Source organism: Homo sapiens, chromosome 20, assembly GCF_000001405.40.
Source record: "Homo sapiens chromosome 20, GRCh38.p14 Primary Assembly".
Taxonomy (NCBI): domain Eukaryota; kingdom Metazoa; phylum Chordata; class Mammalia; order Primates; family Hominidae; genus Homo; species Homo sapiens.
Window position 1 is genome coordinate 17,626,236 of NC_000020.11, and position 18,251 is coordinate 17,644,486.

Consider the following 18,251-nt stretch of genomic DNA (forward strand, 5'->3'; position numbering starts at 1 on the left):
AGTTCATTATCCTAGTAATATGCTGTGTGGCCCAAGAATCTGATCTTAAAACACAAGAGCAAAACAACAACCTCTCTACCCCAACAAACACCACCAGGAGAAACAAAGTTTGCCCATGCTTTTTGGGAAAGGAAGGTGGACAAGGTTTGGTTGTGGGTCATTCTGGGCCCTCAGGGCAGCTGGCTTCCTTTCCCAGTCCCCAAGCCGCAGAGCCCAAATGCCAGGGAACATGGGCTGTGGCCTGGGGAGCTGCCTCTGCTGAGAGGCACACAGGGAGGTGCTTCTTTGGTGACGAGGGTCAGGACAAGGGAACTTTGTGAACTGATGGCCTAGGACACATCTGACCGTGTGCGAGGGAATGCAGGACACCCTCCATGCCTCCCCCACCTACTGCTGCATGGACCCCTAGCCACGGCGGCCAGGACCTGCCTCCCCAGACTGTGGGCATGTGCTACAGGAGGCGAGCCCCAGAAGTGATGGTCACAAGGACTCCGGCCCCTGACTCGAGCCACCCCACCCAGGTGTTGGCCGGCCTTAGCAACAGCAAATAAACACTCCCCGAACATGGCCTGGCGCTGGTGCTGCTGACACGGAGGGAAAACAAGGTCTGGCCAGCAGTGAAGTCACCTCACAGATGGAGGAAAACAACGCTGAGACGCTGCCAGCTCTGCCCCGACGCCTCAAACCTGTGCTCCAGCAGCAAGCCTGGGTTCGCCATTCTGGGTTGTGCAACCATTTTTCCTGTTAGAGTTCCTGACCTCAGCCCCTAAAATCCCTTGCTTGTACACACAGAACCTCTGACCAGTCAGTCCCTTCCCACAGAGAGATGGACAGGTGGATGGACGGACGGCAGGTGGCAGGGGGTGCTCCCACCCTGGCTGAGGCCACTCTGGAACGATGTGATCACGAAGCTCTCTGCAAGGCCGCCTTCTTTCCCGCCCAGGCCTGTCCCGTCCTCTAAATCACCGGAGGATGGGGGAGGGAAGGGAGCCTCTGAAAGGGGCTCTTCTGCAGAGGACCTGAGCACCCTCCTGAAAACCCTGGCCCCCCAAGGGTCTTTGGTCCCCCGGGCTGAGGCTCAAGTGAGCAGGCAGGCTGCTTCCCCAGCTTACCGAGTCTGCTGCTGGTCAGCCTCCGCCTGGCTGGCCTGGAATGAGAGACAAAAGCTCCTTGGTCTCCAGGAGACTCATCTCACGCAGCGGGGCTAGTCCACCCACCTGCTAGATGGAGTTCCCTTTCCTCCCCGTGGCCCCAGGCAGAAGGCTGACCTGGACGTCCTGGGCATCCCGCGCCTGGCCCGCCTCCAGCAGGGCCTCAATGGAACGGATTCTCTCTGTGAGCTGGGAGTTCTCCGCCCTGGCCTCCTGGAGCTGCCCGTGGAGGCCACTCAGCTCCTCGCATTTGCTGCGCACCTCCGCCTCGGAGGACTGTAACTTGCTGTGCAGCTCTGGTGCAGAGGAAGGGAAACGAGAAGTTAAGAGACTGCAAACCCCAGGGGGTGTGGAGGATGCCCTCACTGCTGCCCTCTTAGCACATGTGGGGCACCGAGGGCTTCCTCCTGCCTCCTCTGTGTGTCTGGGGCTCTTAAGACATACTACTGACCACTGGGGCCTCTTGTTAGCGGTTGAAGAAAGTGCCACTCTGGCATCACTTCTGAGAACCGTCAGGGTAGAATGCAATGCTCTCAGGACACTCATGAGAAAATGATAGAGAGTGGAAACGGACTCCAGCTGAGGCTTTTAAAGATTCATCTTCTAGAAGACTCTTTTTCTTACTGAGACCAGAAGTTCCTTAGAAAGTGGCTAGGTGGACCCCACTGCCACACCTCCCCCACCTCCCTGGCTGGGTCCCCCTCAACCCCCAAGACCTCTTCACAGTCGAGAAAGGCCAGGGGGTGACTCTTCTGCCCTGGGCCCCTTTCTCCCCTTGAGGTGTCCTCCTCCTCAGGTCACCTCAGACAGTCCCATGGGTCTAAGTGTCATCTTCGTGCCTCTGAGGCTGCACTCTCCCCAACCCCAGGCTCTGCCATCTGCCTCTTCTAAATGAAGCTCTAGTTAGACAACGCAAACCCAACATCCCGACCTCCCAGGACTCCTCATCTTCCTCCCTCGCCCACTGCCGAAGCCTACGAGCCCACACCCGCCATCTGTCAAGTTGCCCTCTTCACTAGCACCTCTGCGGCCACCTGGGCCCTGCCCTGTTGCCTTGGGCCTCAGCAACTGCAAGGCCTCATCCCTGGTCTCCATGGGCCACTCGTGCCCCTCTGGTCTGCTCTCCACCTGGTGTCAGTGTCCAGAAGCGCACATGAGACGACTTCATCTCCTGCCCCAAGCACTTCTGTCACACCTTCCACGGTGCCCAAGCTCCTCAGAGGGAGGGTGACCTGGCCCTGCCCCGCCACCAGCCTTCTCCTTCCAGCCACACTTGTTAGCCCATTTCTCACATAGGCCAAGTCAGTTCATTCCCACCTCCGGGCCCTGTGCTGGCCTCTGCCATGCATCCCCTCCTGCCTCAGAGAGTCTCCAGGACCACGCAATCTAAAGCCATGCCCAGCCCTCTGGAGCAGGGGCCGGGAAGCTGGGGCCGTGCCTCCCAACCTCCATTTTTCCAAGTGATATCAATGAAGCTTTCTTTGAACACAGCCAGGCCCCTCTGTTCACTCGGTGTTAATGGGCACTTTTGCCCACTGTGGCAGAGCTGAACAGTTGTGACAGAGACTGGCCAGAAGCATTCACCATCCATCCCCGACAGAAACAGTTCACCCGGTGTTAACGGGCACTTTTGCCCACTGTGGCAGAGCTGAGCAGTTGTGACAGAGACTGGCCAGAAGCATTCACCATCCATCCCTCACAGAAACAGTTGCCAACCCTGCCCTGAACACAGTCCCTGTGTAGAGGGCCCTGCTGTGCAATCCTGTCCTTGCAGGTGACTCTGTCGTGTAACCCCCAGTCCAGCCCAGCCCGGCACCCACGGCAGTGCTTGGCCTGGGGAGGGGCTCGGGAAGCGCCAGTGAGCCAAGGGCCACGGGCCTCTCACTGGCACCTTCAGCTCCCTTTCTCCAGGGGCTCTCGGCCCTCCATCCCTGTCACCCTTTCCATGATCGACTGCAGCAAGGGAACCACAGGCTTGTAAATCCTGCCTGGCCTTCTGGGCTGACTGAGCTGGGAGAGTAGAAAGGCCCAGAACACACATTTAGCTGAGACGCCTCAGGATCTCCCTGGTTCATCCACAGCCACTGCGGACCCAGGCTTGGGAGGGAAGCAGTGCCTTCCACCCCCATATGCCCTGCTCCCATGCACCAGGCCCTCACAGGCCTTGCCCCCCACTTCTAGCCCCTGTAGGTCCCATCCTCACAGCTCCATCCCCCCACCTCTGGACTGCGCCTATAGGCTGACTGCGCCCCCCGCCAGCCCCTGACTGGGCATAATCCCCTGCTCTTTGACTTTCTGAGGGGCAGTCAAGGGATCCGTGCTGCCCTCACCCAACAGGCCTAACCCACTGAGTTCTGGCACTGGCAGTGGGGCTGGGCCGGCATGCAGACCCAGCACCCTGCACTGAACCCCCGGCCCCACTGCCGCCGCCCTTACCGGCCATCTGCTGCTGTTGCTCCTGGGCCTTCTCGGCATCCGCCCGGAGGCTGGCGTGGCTGCTCTGCGTGTGGCACAGCTCCCGGCTGACCTCGTCCAGGCGCTTCTGCAGGGCCTCCTCACTCTCCCTGTGGGACGCCTGGGGACGGGCAGGGGAGTGGGGCAGTGAAGACGTGGAAGGACCAGGCCCTCAGCGGCTCTGCGGTGGAGGCGGACAGAGCTCTTTACCCCACCAAAGCCCCGTGCAGTCTCTGGTCCATGTGGGAAGGAAATGCATCCCTCGAGGCTCTAGAACCCGCACAGGCTTCACTTCGGCCAGAACCCTTTCATGGGGAGAAGGCAGCTGCCAGGGACCCACACTCACTTCCCAGTTCTTTTCTGAGTCCCTATTTTTACATTCTCAAGTGATTCATGAAGACATGGTTACTGCAAGAGTCCAAAGATACTGATTCAGAGTAAACTAGCGACATTTCCCAATCCAGTCCTCGATTCCTCTCCCAGGGGCGGACAGCTTGGTGGGTCTCCCACCTGCAGCTCCACATGTTACACACACACACGCACGGTGCACCACTGCGATCACGCTATAGGGCAGTGCTCTTAGTTCTTAATATTAGGTTGAACCACGTGAAATTGTCAGTGTTTGACCATTTTTACCTACAAAAATGGCAATTTCACATGCTTCAAAAGTATCTCAGAGACATTTCCTCACTCAGGACAGACAGGCCCACCACACCCTTGTTTAGGAGCCACACAGAGCTTCAGTGTTTGCCCAGTTCCCGGCTCAGTGTCAGGCAGGCTCTGGCAGTCCCAGTCGGTGCTCCACAGGACACCCTCATCCACCTGTAAAGGATTCCCACACACTGGGGCAGAAGTGCTGGCCAAGGCCTCCATTTAACCAGCCCTTTGGAGAACTCAGTTCTCCAAAAAGCCCGACCACTGATTATTCATTAACAAGCTTGTCTGGGGGCAGAACCAGGTAAGAGGGGCATCAACAGATGACTGCTGTTTGAATAAGAGGCTGTGAGTTATCCCTCGTCAATGCCTTTACCAAGCTGATCCCATCCACATCCATTTTCATTTTCTTTTAGGGCAATGGCTGCACAACCTGGAGCTGGGGTAACTGCTCAGATGAGCACCATCCGGGCAGAGGCGTGGCTGGAGCCAGTGAAGCCATCACCAAGGAGGTGGCCACTAGGCCGTGGTTCACGTGTACTGTGCAGTGAAAACTGGGGGCAGCTTTAGGATGGGCAGTGCTTTCTGCATTAGAACGTAGCAGGGGATTACTCAGTTCCAACTCCTAGGGAGGAAATGAAAGAAAGGAGTGACTGCAAGCTGCTCCCAGAAAGCACACCTGCTTCTCCTCTGCCAGGTGTCCCGGGCAGGAGCCTGCCTTGCACCCACCGGCTCCAACACCCTCACACCTCTGCCTCGACCAGGATACATAGGGCAGGGTCATTACACGACTGGAAGAAAACACACCAGCTGCTGCTGCTTTTTTTCTTTAAGAAAAGGGACTCCAGCTCAGACTGCAGGGAGACTGACCACACATGTTCTTCCGTTTGTTACTAACATTGATTAGAACTCTGATTCCAGCAACAAGCAAACAAAAACCCACCCACCTTCAGGAACCCCAAACTTAAAATCTTTGATGGAAACCACGGGCCTCCATCTTAAGACCTCAGGTGACAACTGTCTTTGCCTTGAAGAGAATGTTGTTAGCACAGCCAATCACACTGAACAATTTCAGAAGCGGGTCCCGTGGCTGGGTGGGCCCAGCTGGGGACTTTCATAAGGCCCTCCTGGATTTCTAAGATTCAGTTCTTCTAGAAGGATGTCATCAGCACCTTCAATGGGTACTTTCTTCCAAGCAGGCCCCAAGAGGCCGTCCGGGGAGAGACAGGCAATGAGGGGCAGGGCACCTCCCTGATGCCAGTGCTCCAGGACCGAAGGTCAGCACAGGCCACCCCCGCCCTCATTCCTGCAGAGCTGGCTGGCAGTGAAGGGGCCTCAGGTGAAGGCAGGACAGTCACAATATGGAAAGAGCCCCATTTTCACCTCAGCAAAAAAGAGACATTTTCTACAACCTCAACCGCCAGTCTGACTTGGAGATATCTTGAATAAAATTTTGTAGAGTTCACATTGAGCTCTTTTTCTGAAAAGCACTGATCTAGTCCTAGGCACTCTGGGTGTAATAGCATGGTTAACTCCCACAGTCACCCTGCAGGACAGCTCCTACTATCCTGTCCATAGTACAGATGGGAAAACTGAGGCTCTGAAATAACTTGCTAGGAAGTGGCAGAGCCAGGACCTGAACCCGACAGCTGGCGCCAAAGGCCTCACTGTCAATCACAGACTTGACAGGCACAGAATCTTTGGTGTCAGACTGGAGAGCAGGGAATCCTCTGCCCAGCCCCAGGCTGTGGACAAGGACCCTGAGTCTGGAGAGGACAGGAGATACTGGGAGCCTGGGGGCCCTGGCTAGATCCTTCGTAGGAATGACACGTGATGGTGACAGACCAAGCCCAGTTCCAGGCCCAGATGGACCACAACCGTCCAGGAGCCTTTAAAACACAATCATGGGCAGGCACACCCCACAGCTTCTCAACTCCCTCTTCTGAGTGGGTCTGCTTCACATGAACATCAGAAAACACCAAATTATCCATCTCAATTCCACCCCAATTCAAACTGTTTCTTTGTCCATGTTCTCTTTTAGTCCTTGCACACGCTCAAACATCACTCTTAAAATTTCGTGTCTGTTCTAGTTCCAAGAGGCAGCACTAATGCCCCCACGCACTACAGCCTGGTTTCAATGATGGGACAGAAAAAGGGCCCTAAGCCCCTGGGGTCTCATTATCCAGAAAAGTTAAACCCAAGTGGGCATGACATCAAGGTGCCTCATGCCCTGGGTAACAGCCCTATGTGGGGTCCACCTGCCCAACACAGGCCAGCAGACGGATGGGAATTCATCAGGCAAGGCCTCTGGGCTGGGAAAACATGCTGCATGCTGCCCGTGTCCCCCTGGGGACAGGGGGACAATCTTCCTCCCTCTGAAGGAGAACAGGCACCCTCCTGGGAAAAAAGGCCTCAAGGCCACACCCAGAAGCTGAGAAAGAAGAAACCCCACTGGCCTTGAAGCCAGAGGCTGCGTCCACAGCCTGTGGGCTCAGCTGGCTGCTCCAGAGCTGCAGTACCACAGTGGGGGCAAGTATGGGAGGAAAAACACGGCTCCAGAGCGAGACTTGGGGTTCAAATTCTGCTTCTGCCATGTCCTGGCTGGGTGAACTTGAGGTAGTTGCTGAACTTCTCTGCACCTCAAACTCCCTTATGGGTAAAAATGCAGACACTACCAGTGCCTACCTCATAGGGTTACAAGGAAAAGTGGCTGAGTTAACGCTTGAAAATGCTCAGAACAGTGCTTAGCATACAGAAAGCTCCCGCTTGATGCCAGCTGTAACTACTACCAAGGAGACTAAGGTGAAGAGTTTGAGCCCCAGCCCTGCAGACACCATCATCTGTCCCAGTCAAGGCTAGAAACGGGTGCCCAGTGTGGCACGGCCAGCCTGGGCCCATCCCCGCTATGCAGACAGGCTTGCTGGGCAGTGAACAGGGCACTGAGGCGGCCACTGCCCCGACTCACCTGCAGCTGCAGGACCTGCTTCTCGAAGGCAGCTGCCTTGGCTTCCAGAGCTTTCCGCTGCTGCTCATCTTGCCGCACAGCCTCTGACTTCTCCACCAGCTCTTTGCTGACCTTGCTGAGCTCCTGCCGAAGCTTGGCCAGCTCTGCGTTCTGCCTGCAAGACAGTCACCAGCCCGACTAATGGAAAGAAAAGGGTGATGGGATCGGTGGTCCAAGCCCTCCCTCCAGGACTCCAGCTCTCTTGTAAGTAAGCAGTTGCCCAAGTCTTGAAGCCATTACCAAAGCCACTTTTCCATTATCAGCTGTGTGGGGTTGGGCATGTGTTTTGTTGAAGACATTGTTTTACCTATATAGTGCATGAACCAGAGACAGCATAGAGCAAATGTGCACTAAAGCATCCCAGGGGAGCCCCTCCCAGAAACAGCCAGAAATTCACAGAAAACGGCAACACAGTTCTGGGTGCAAACCAGCCTTGAGATGAAGATCCACCCGCCTTGACGCCCTGTAGGCCTGTGGGCAGCAGCCCACGGAGTCCACGCGCCCCCTCACTGGCCAGCTGGACCAGGGCCAGGCTGGGGAGGCTGCCCAAAGCCAGAGCCTGAGGTGCTTACAAAACAGACCCTTCAGGACTGCACTTCAAAAGCTGGGTCTCAGGAGCTGGGAGGAATGTTCCGGAGTTACAGAAGGAGACTTAAAGGAAAAGGGGGCAGCTGGAGGCCTGCCTTTCCAGCGTAAGGCGTGTGATCAGGATGCCACTCCCTCACTAGCAGACGCTGCCTCAAGGCCAAAGACTGACTGTCCAACCAAGGGACACCACCAGACGAGACTGTCCCAAACCCTGGGACGCAGCACCAGGCCAGGCGGAGCTGGGAAACCGGGCTGAGGCTAGATTTGCTCTGCTGCCTGCGGGGTGGTGGGTCCCACCTCTCTGACTTGGGGGCTGCCTCGTCTGTACCGGGGAGGCCACACCAAAGCCCACTGTAGGTCCATCAGCTCCATGCTTCACAAGGCCAAGGTTCAAGTGACCTAGGAGGGAGGCGGAAGGTCGTGTGGTGCCCTCAAGATGGACTGGGAGCTCTGAAGTGGGCCTGGGAAAACACATCCCGCTGCTGAGAGCCACCCACCAGCCAGAGCTTCTGGACTGGCAGGGCCACTGCCTCAGCGTGACAAGTCTCCTGGCTTTAGAGCCTTACCCATTAAGGAGGCCACAGCAGATCCTATGTGGGGAGACGCCAGAGAATTTCTCAGTCCCCACATATGCCTTCTGCTGTGGCTTTTGGGGAAACAGCAGCCACAAACCTCCAACCAGCCGATGGCTCAGGAAGGGGACCCAGAGGGGACAGGCAGAGGGGAAGGCAGCTGCTGGATCTCACTCCACGTCAGAGGGAGCCATAGTCAAAACAGATACTTGGCCCAGCTCCCCTCCCTGTCCAGCTCCCACACTGGACTTCCCCTGACCCGACTCCCAGACAAGGACTAAGGGTGCCAGCGTGCTCTGCTGTGGTCAGCCCCTGCCTTGGTGAGAGCAGAGGCTTTCGGGATAACACAGAGCTCTGCCAAGTCCCTGCAGGACACTTCGGACCAGAGAAAGCAAAGAAATGTACAACTAAAGACACTGCAGTGGGTTTCTCGAGGGCTGCCACTGAGGGTGTAATGCTTAAATCAGGGAAGCAGAAGTGCGGCTGTACTCAACTCCGGAGGGGAAGTGCACCCTCCGGCCCACTTGCTGTGGGCTGCGGTGCTTCAGCAACTCAGAGACAACACTGAGATGAGAACCCCGCTAGGCAGGTGGGTGCTGGAAACCCTCCCTAGTACCAGTGCATCTGAAGCAAGGGTGTTGCAGAGCAGGAGGCTGTGCTCCAGGGCACAGTCGAGGCCCACCACCAGCCACCACAGGGACGCTGGGCCACCTGTTAGAAGACTCAGGGGCCCAGAACCCAGACGGGAGATGGAAGGTCAGGACGGCTCCGCACACATGTAGGGCCCATGCCTGGCTCTTGTGCCAGCTGCCCTGGCCGCAGCCTCGTGAAGCCTTCCTCGCTCCAGGGCCCTTGGGGAGGTGCTGAGGCAGGAAAGCTCAGCTTACTTGCTCTCCACCTGGCTCGTGGCCTGGTTCAAGGCATCCCGCAGGATGGAGTTCTCCTGCTGCAGGCGGGCCAGCTGCGTGTTGGGGCCATTCTCCAGCTGCTCCTGAAGAGTCCGGATCTGGAAAGTCACGGGCAAGGGCATCAGAGGCAGCTCGGCCTCACACACAGAACTGACTTCTGAGCAGTGGTTAGTGAAGACACAGCCCACAAAAGAAAACCCCCAAAAGCCTCCACCTTTTCCACGTGGAAGTTAAGAGGATCCCATAAAACAAGAGGCCTGAAAATTGCGAAGCTTAAGCGGCCAAGCATGACTCCCACACCCAGCGACACCTCTCTCCCTCCTCACTGCTCATGGCCTGCCCAAGGCTGAACACTCAGCCCAGGGTCTCTGACACACCCCATGAACATCTGCCTCCAAGGTCACATGGTTGACTGTTCTAAGACAAAGCACATGCACCGCCTCTAACCCCCCTGAGGAAGCCTCGATTCCTGCCCTCTGACCTCCAGCACGTCCTGAGACATGCAGCAGGGAGGAGGTCGCAGCCCACTATGAGCAGGGTGCAGGCTTCAGACTTTGACTACAGGGCCAGTCTGGGCAGCCGCCCAGTGCTGGCCGCTGGAGCTGTGTGATTTTCAGGCCTTGGTATTATGGGATCCTCCCCACCATGTGGAAAGAAGATAGAGCCTGCGTTTCTCTAGGTTCACATGAAGGGTGAGAACTTCACAGACACCCAGGAGGCAGGGAAACAGGGCTGGCCATCTGAGACTAGGCTCTTTTGAAAAGTGTTCTTTAAAATGTATTTCATACCTCCCTGGCTTTTAACATTATACACACACTTGGGCTGCCAGACCCTGTCCAGCCAAATGCAACAGCCCCTGGACTCCTAAACCTGACCAGACCTTACAGACCCCTGTGGGCATCCTCAACCCCCTCCTCATGCCTCACCCTTTGGGCCTCTCTGGCTCCCTCCGTCCTGGACCTGGACTGGGTCCTGTCCCTTCCCATGCCCCCGCCAGCCACTACACCCACCTTGCCCTGCAGCTGCTGCACCTCCTTCACGTGCTCCCGGTAGCTGGCCTGCATGCGTGCCTGCACAGCCGTGATCTCCTGCTCCCGGGCCACCAGCTGCTTTTTCACTTTGGCCTCCCCGGCTGCTGCTTTGGCCTTTTCTGCTGCCATCTCCTGGGGGGAAAGTAGCAGAGAGAGGGGCTGGTAAGCCTTGCAGGGCAGGAGCCTATCAGAAGGGAGCAAGAGCATCACCCGAGCTGGGAGGCTGGAGAGCAGAGCACAGACCCCTCCTGCTGGCCGGGTTCTCAGCTAGACTCAAGCCAGCTGCAGTGGGAACGACGACAGACAACAAGGGATCCCTGGAAACCCTGCTGGCCCTGGCCGGTTGTGGGCTCAATGTCAGGCCTTGGCCACAGTGGAGGTGGCAGATGCGGCAGGAACAGCAGAGACACACGGTGCTGTCCCTGGCTCTCCAGGGCACTGGCTCGGCCCTGCTGTGATGACAACACCCCAGCTTGACTCAGTCACCAACATCCAGGGCCCCTGGGACACCTACTTCTACTCAAGTGCCTTCATCAGGACTGAAAGGCACCAAGCCCTGATGGCTAGGGTGGGGGTGGGGCCAGCTGCCAGTTCCGCCGTGGCTGGGGGTAGGGCATGCATCTCTGCAGGCGGTCGCTCTGTCCTCCACCCAGGGGGACATCGGCTCCGATCAGTGCCAGATACCCACAGGTGAACATGGATGCCGAGTCTGGGGGGTCCGGCGTCTCCAGCAGGGACAGAGCAGGATGGGAAGGCTGGCCATGGTCTGTGTCATCCCAGAGGGATGGCCTCAACCAGAAACCATAGGGAGGCAGGGTGACAACTCAAGGAAAGGTTGACACAATGAGCCCCTGGGGTGGGGGTGTTCCCTGTCTAGCAGGCCTGGACAGACCAGCACTGATGTGATGTGAATACATATCATAAACACAGCAGGCCTGAGTGACCAGGGCACAAGCGTCCCACCAGCGTCAAGGCTGCTCCATGGGCAGTGGGCCAGGAGTGAGGAAGTCCGTCCCCTCCCCAGACCAGGACTATAGGGAGGCCTGTCCCAAAGGCCAGAGTGTCCCTCTTGCCTGAGATGGGAAAGAACCCTGAGGAGGAGCCACTGGGTGCTGGTGCTGTTCCGTGCTCCTGGTACTCTCTGGGACCTCCTGGGACCCTTGGCCTCACTTTTCAAAGACAATCATCTTTTTGGCTCTGCCCGGGGTGAGAGGCCCACAGGAACCTGCAGGTCTGCTTCACTGATTAGCTACAGAAGTGGGGGGCGGGATGAGCTGACACTGCGCCCCAGCACTGTCCCATTTAATTTTCTCTGGAAGACGAGGATTACAATCCCCATCCAAGCTGAGGTCACAGAGCCTTGGAGAGGACACACTTGTCCAAGGCTGGGGAGCAGCTCTAAGAGGCAGGGGTGGGGCCCAAACCTAGGACTGTACAAGACCAAGGGGTTCCCAGAAAGGGGAGGAATGAGGACGCCTGCCCTTCTGTGTGGGCTGGGAAGCCCCTGGGGAAAGGGAGGACAGCTTAGCGGTGATTCCAGGACCCCTCCGCACTTCCTCCTCTAACACACGTGGCCCCACCGGCCCACTGCTGGCAGACAGGTGTGGTAGAGATGGCTGGAAGCCTCCCAACACCAGCAGAGAGGAGGCCGCTCTCTTTGCTGAGTTTCCGACACAACGGCCCTTCCAAGTAGATGGTCCAGCCTTGCGAAGAAACCAAAGCTCATGGAGACCAGGCATTCCCACAGCCACATGGATGGCTGGTTGGGAAGCCACACTTGGGTCATCCTCAGCCCTCCTCTGCCACCTGGAGACACCCTTCCCAGCCCTGGGCAGGCCTCGTGCAGTTCCAAGGTCCACCCCGCTCAGGGTCTGCAGACCCCTATCTCCTGGGGGTCAGCGTCCCAAGGCCGCCAGGATTCAATGGGATCTTCCCCCTCTTTTGCCTCTAGGCTTTTTAAAGAGCAGAGAAAAGTCACTTGTCCTCAGTGCAGCTGTTTAGCTCTCTATGGTTTCTTTTTCTTCAAAGAGCTCAGAGACCCAGGGTTCCTTCTGCTTGTCAAATTCTTAATTCAGTTGCAAGAGTCAGATTTATTTCCTTGAAAAGCATTCCTGATGGTGGTGGGGGGGTTCCGGCGCACAAGAAGACAAGGCTTGGCACCATCACTAGCATTGGCTCAGAAGTGACTCTCTGTCCCTACTTCTTCCAGGCGCTGTTCCCTAGGAGTAGTGGGGCCCCTCATGGTGTAAGCTTTGAGGACTGTAGAGAGCCCTCCAACCTGCTTTCCCAGCCAAGCAAGGAAGCAACCTCCACCAAGAAGGCCTGGTAACAGGAACTCCTCCCGTGACCCCATCCCCAGGTAAACCCTCTGAGGGTCCCAGAGGGCCTTGGGGCTCCTTCTGTTTCACAGCCCCATCTCCTTCTGGGCCCTAAAGCCAGAACACGGGACCAAGCCCAGGACGGGGCCAGTCCGAGGCATGGCTTCAGGACAGAGGTTCTGGTGCCCAGGAACATGACAGCTGGAATGTTTTTCCAGAAGGTTGTGCCTTCTTGGTTACATCACTGGAGCTCTGCCTGGACTCCTCAAACCCCCAAGAGATTCTCAGACAGCCAGGACAGAGTTCTCAAGGGCGTCTGAGCCCATCAACTCCTGCAGACAGTGTGTGGACTGGTCCTTGAACCCAACTCTGCTGGGACTTCGCACATTTGGGAGACCTGGATACAGCAGATGATCCAAATTTTCTTTCTCAGTGTGTCCAGATCATGCCTTCAGCATCAGACCCCAAGAAACAGAATTAATGAAAACCCTTTTCAACTATAAAAACTTCTCTACAAGGACAAAGAAAACATGTCGAAGGGACTAGAACAAGAAACATAGGTTCCATCCATCTCCCCAGCTCCCGAGGGGGATTAAGGTAAGAGGAACTGCCACACTCTCTGGAATTTACTGTCTCACAACATTTCCCTCAGCAGTGCTGGGCAGTTGCAGTGTTACCGTAAGAATGAGGTAAACAGGCCAGGGACGGTGGCTCGCAGCTGCAATCCCAGCACTTTGGGAGGCCGAGGTGGGCGGATCACCTGAGGTCGGGAGTTCGAGACCAGCCCGACCAACATGGAGAAACCCCGTCTCTACTAAAAATACACAATTAGCCGGGTATGGTGGCGCTTGCCTGTAATTCCAGCTACTTGGGAGGCTGAGACAGGAGAATCGCTTGAACCCGGGAGGCGGAGGTTGCAGTGAGCCAAGATCGTGCCATTGCACTCCAGCCTGGGCAATAACAGTGAAACTCCAGTCTCAAAAAAAAAAAAAAAAAAAAGAATAAGGTAAACACATCGGCTCTGCTCAGGACTCTCAACAGAGAGCACGAGCACAGGGAAGAGAAACGGCCAAAGGCATCGACTACAAACATTTAACTATTTACAAGAAGACAATGTAAAATACTCAGAAATGCTTCCAGGCTTCCCCTCAGCTGCGAGGTGGCCTGGCCCTCTCAGTGGCCACTTGATCACTGGCGGCCTGCTAGGCTGAGCCTGGTGAGACCACCAGAGTGGGTCTGCGCCACCAGGCTTGAGGTCTGACAGGAGCCAGATGCAGCCAGGTGATGCCTAACTGTACCAATGACCTCTGTGCAGAACAGGAACATGGGAGCTCCAGAAGGCTCCTGAGGGAGGGAAACCAAATTGAGTCTTCCAGAGTAAGAAGACAATGTCCAGACATCCAAGCACGGAAGGGCATTAGAGGCCAAGGGAAGAGCAAGAGGAGAGCCCCAGAGGAGTCACGAAAGGGCACAGAATGTCTGAGCACAGGTAGGGAAAGGGAAGAGGTGAGGCCAGAGGCAGGGTGAGTGGCTGAGCTGGGGCCTGGGGGGCAGACTTAGGTCTGAAGATTAGGGGCCCCTGGCAGAGCTTGATGGGGGTCCTCACAGATCAGCATTTGGGAGCCCAACAGGACCTCTTCCGGCTTAGGGAGCAGAGTGTGGGTGGAAGGGAGGCCACGCACCGTTAACCTTCTCCTCACCTAAGAGGCAAGGCCAGTGGTCTCCGAGGAGGCTGGGTACTGAATGAGGACCACAGGCTGCCCTGAGCATGCAGCCAGGGAGATATTCTACCACCCCAGCAGGGTGGAGAGCAGCATCGAAGAGCGGCCATCTAAGGTGTGTCTTCTGGTCCTGCCCATCCCCCACCCAGTGAACTTCCCATCTGGCTCAGAGCCGTGACCCTGAATTTGCGACAAAAAGTAAGGCTGCCTTACTTCCAATTCTTTGTGCTCGAGCAGACAAAGGCACCCGGAAGAAGGGCTGTAGCCCAGACACTGTTGGACAGTCCACCATCCAGGCCCTCCCCCTGCGCCCGCTGCCCGGGATGGAGAAGGCAGGGAGGCAGGGAGAGGGCAAGAGCAAGCCTGCGGTGCTGCATGGGGCAAAGACGGCTTTCAACAGGGCCTGACCAGTCCCAGAGGGCCAGGGGGCCCCTCACCCTGCCCTTCCTCCAGGAAGGCTGGGGCACCAGGGCCCACCCTCAGCAGCAGAGAGGTGGGGAAAGACCCCGGTGAATTCTGCAGTGGGAAGAACAGCCCCTATGCCATGGATCCCAACACAATCTCAACGTGCCATCAGCCCCGTCCTATGGCAGCACCAACCCACCACCGTTTGCTGTTCAGAGTGCAAATGCTACGTGCCACGCCATCCGCTGATACGGGGAGCCAGGGTTTCCCTGCACATCCCTCCTCTGACATCAGAAAAAGGGAGAAGAGCAGCCCCTCCAGTCCCCTCCCCACAAGGTTTTGCATAATCCTCAAGAAAACAACCTTGAATCTACTGTGGCCACCCTCCTTTCCAGGCACAGCCCCTAGAAAGCTGGCCTGTGACTGCAGGACCTGTCTAGTGAAAGCCAGGTCTGGTCCATCCCCATCACAAACTGATGCTGCTTAACTTCCAAACCCTTGCTTCACTTCCCTGCGTTCTTACAGCCACGAAGGAAGCCACCACGCCGTAGAGCCACGAGCACTGCCAAGGGTGAGCTGCCGGCCCTTGGCTCTTTAGGCAGCAGATAAGCAGCAGTCCCTACTCAGCAGCCTGACAGCCAGCTACGTTCCAGGCAGGCCCCAGCATCTCGGAGCCCGGGATCCACCGTGGATGGGGCGGGGGTCCTCTGAGGACGGGAGAGGACAAACCATCTCCGAGCCCACTCAGGCTGTACCTTGTTGAGCTCCCTCAGTTTGCTCTTGGCGACAGCCGCATCTTCCTGTTCTGTGGCCAGCAGTTTTTCCTTCTCTTCCAGCTGGCGTTTCAGAATCGCCACAGGGTCACCCTTCTGAGTGGCCTAGAAATACCCAGAGATGCGTTAACAGAGGGGACAAATGGGACTTGGCTCATCCCCTGACCCCGGACAAGAGCAGAGGCCTGAGGGCTTGATGAAGTGGAGCAGGGGCTTCGAGTCAAGGGTTCCACTGGGACTCCAGATACTTGTGGGGAAAGGCGGCCCCGCCTCAGCCATCAGCCTGCCGGGACCCCTGACCCAGCGTGTGTTGGGACTGTCAAGGCCAAAGGCTTTGAATCCCTGGAGTGGCATTTAGGAGTGTGGTGTTGCCAGCTCCTCTGAGGGGCAGCTGGCCACCATTTCTGGCCTGGAGCCTACCCGAGCCGGGCGTGCAGCCCGTAGGCCTCTGGCTGCAGTATGGGGGCCGGGTACTCTGAGGACAGTGACCTGAGGAGAGCCAGGCCTCTCCCTGGTCATCTGAATCTCCTATGGCCACTCATACCCAGTAGAGCCCCCAGTGACGACTGACAAGCTCTCGGTGCCACTGAGACTGTGCAGGATGTGTATGGCCAGGAAGGGAGTGACCCCACTGGCCTCAGGGCACACCTGAGCATCTCTAACCACTAAATCCTCCAGCACAGTTACCCTGAACTCTGACTCCAGTGAAGGAATGTGCCACGCAGCACTTCTTGGGCACAGCTCTTGGCCAGAGGCACGAGATAGCTCAGAACTCTTAGCCTCTGAACCTGCCCCCGGCAGCACGACGGAAACCAGGGGCGCTCCTGGGCTGGGGAACCTCACAGGGCCCCACACTGTGTCCCTATACCTTTCTTTCTGCACCCTGAGCTGTGGCCACAAACTGGCTAGGCCCCAGCTCCCTAGATCCCATACCCTGCCAATACAGAGCCCTGCCCCAGCCCTAACCATCTCAGGAGCCAGGCCATGGGTGGCTTGACAGAAGCCAAAGCACCTGCGAGCGATCCCTCGGGGTGGCAGAATTCTGCCAGGAAAGAGAAGTGGAGGCTGTCCTATGAATGTCCTCTCTGTGGCAGAGGGAAGGGCAAAACCACCCTAGCCAGCTGCAGTGGCCTCTGAGCATGGCCAGCAGGAGGGTGGGCCCACCTTGTGCCAGGTGTCCTGAATGATGCCAGCCTTCTCAGACAGGATCTCGATGAGCCGCTGGGCCTCGCCCTCGTTGAACACCATGCTCCCAACCGTGGAGACCAGCGTCTTGTAGGGGAGGTAGAGAGGGCCGTCGGCATCTGGGGGCCCTGTGCAGCAAGAGGGAAAGAGCTGAGACTTAGGCCCATAAGCCACAACACACGTGGCCACAATGCCCATCACACCAAGAAGGTTCTGGTCACAGCCACGAAGAGCTCTCTGACTGCTTGGGGTCAGCAGGCTGAGCATGGCGAGTCTGCTCCAGTGTCTCCTGCTCTTTCAGGACACCAAGAAACTGACTCAACGATAGGTCCCTGCACCGTCCTAACTCGCCCATAGGAAGTCCCAGCCTGGGGTGGAAGTAGAGCTCCTCTTTTTTTTTTTCCACCATCAAGATGGCCTGCAACAAAATTAAGCAAGGCGTACTTTTTCCATAGGCTTTTCTCCCTTCCTTTTTTTTCTCGCAAATGCACTGGTCCTGTTCTCAACCTGCATGGCTCACCATGGTTCTCCCCACTGGCTGTGACTGAGCCCCGTGGCCTTGTGGGACCTGACTGGGCAGCGAATTTACCGTCCACCACACACAGACACCCAGAGCCACACTCCTGCAGCCACAGGAGGAGCACAGAAGGCAAGGAGAGGCTGCTTCCACACATCAGTGCAAACCCTATTTCTAGCTCCCTGGATGAAGCCCAGGCAGTGACAGGGTTTGGGAGAGGGAAGGCTGGCTGGGTTCTTATAGAAAGGGCCTGTCCACTGGCCAGTCCATGAGTGACTGCCTGGAGGACAGGGAGCCATCTGCCAACAAACGTCACTTCTGAAAAACTAAAACTGCCGACACCCCCCACGCCCCTCCCCACACACATGGTTTTGTTCTCATTGGGGCTTGAATGCAGCCTCGGAAGCAAGAAAGGGTGAACCAAGATGCCACGCCTGAGTGCCTGGACTCTTCCACAGCTGAATGACAGCACTAAAAATGAGCCAAATCAGAGAGCAGACAGGCCTACAGCAGCCCCTCAGCTGAGCCCACCTTGGGAGGACAAAGGAGAGGGCTGGTTTCCATAGCAACCCTCAATTCTCTGGCTTGTCACAATATTTTCACTTACTAGTCATAATATTTTCATTACAAGTCAAAGCATTTGGCACGATACCTTAATGAGGGGAACGTGGGATGTGGGCGAGCTGGTTGCTATGAGCACCTTTATTTTATAACTTCTTACCCTGGTGAGGCTCGGGAGTTTAAAAATAACCATGTTGACACCAAAGGCCTAAGAGGTCATGGGTGCCACGAAAACAGGTCCTGGCAAAAGCATGCCCCTTCAACCTTCTTTTCACTGAAATACGTGTATGTACATAAAGTAATTTTAATGCACACACAAGAGAAAATTCTAACCCAAAAGCCAAAAGAAAATAAAAACATGCATGGCTCACTCTCGGGAGAAACCCCCGTGTTAGTTCACATTTCGGTT

At 56.7% G+C, this 18,251-nt stretch overlaps 1 protein-coding gene across 3 annotated transcripts in view, besides 3 other annotated features; it reads right to left on the reverse strand.

Annotated features, from left to right (window-relative positions):
* The window catches only part of RRBP1 (ribosome binding protein 1), a 68,564-nt gene that overhangs the window by 12,557 nt on the left and 37,756 nt on the right, over positions 1 to 18,251 (reverse strand). For all 3 annotated transcript variants that reach the window (NM_004587.3, NM_001042576.2, NM_001365613.2), the window contains 8 exons: positions 16,744 to 16,892; positions 15,562 to 15,684; positions 10,342 to 10,494; positions 9,311 to 9,429; positions 7,225 to 7,378; positions 3,588 to 3,726; positions 1,269 to 1,447; positions 1,113 to 1,147 (listed from right to left, as the gene is read on the reverse strand). In NM_004587.3, coding sequence (NP_004578.3) covers positions 1,113 to 1,147; positions 1,269 to 1,447; positions 3,588 to 3,726; positions 7,225 to 7,378; positions 9,311 to 9,429; positions 10,342 to 10,494; positions 15,562 to 15,684; positions 16,744 to 16,892 — 1,051 coding nt within the window. The remainder of the gene's footprint in view (positions 1 to 1,112; positions 1,148 to 1,268; positions 1,448 to 3,587; positions 3,727 to 7,224; positions 7,379 to 9,310; positions 9,430 to 10,341; positions 10,495 to 15,561; positions 15,685 to 16,743; positions 16,893 to 18,251) is intronic.
* Positions 9,633 to 10,506: an enhancer, noted in NCBI's record as "H3K27ac-H3K4me1 hESC enhancer chr20:17616513-17617386 (GRCh37/hg19 assembly coordinates)". NCBI's record gives its function as "activates a minimal SCP1, AML or CMV promoter by ChIP-STARR-seq in primed H9 embryonic stem cells {active_cell/tissue: H9 hESC(primed)}" and the evidence as "EXISTENCE:reporter gene assay evidence [ECO:0000049][PMID:30033119]".
* Positions 10,507 to 11,380: an enhancer, noted in NCBI's record as "H3K27ac-H3K4me1 hESC enhancer chr20:17617387-17618260 (GRCh37/hg19 assembly coordinates)". NCBI's record gives its function as "activates a minimal SCP1, AML or CMV promoter by ChIP-STARR-seq in primed H9 embryonic stem cells {active_cell/tissue: H9 hESC(primed)}" and the evidence as "EXISTENCE:reporter gene assay evidence [ECO:0000049][PMID:30033119]".
* Positions 17,660 to 17,789: a silencer, noted in NCBI's record as "silent region_12691". NCBI's record gives its function as "represses an Ori minimal core promoter by ATAC-STARR-seq in GM12878 lymphoblastoid cells {active_cell/tissue: GM12878}" and the evidence as "EXISTENCE:reporter gene assay evidence [ECO:0000049][PMID:35858748]".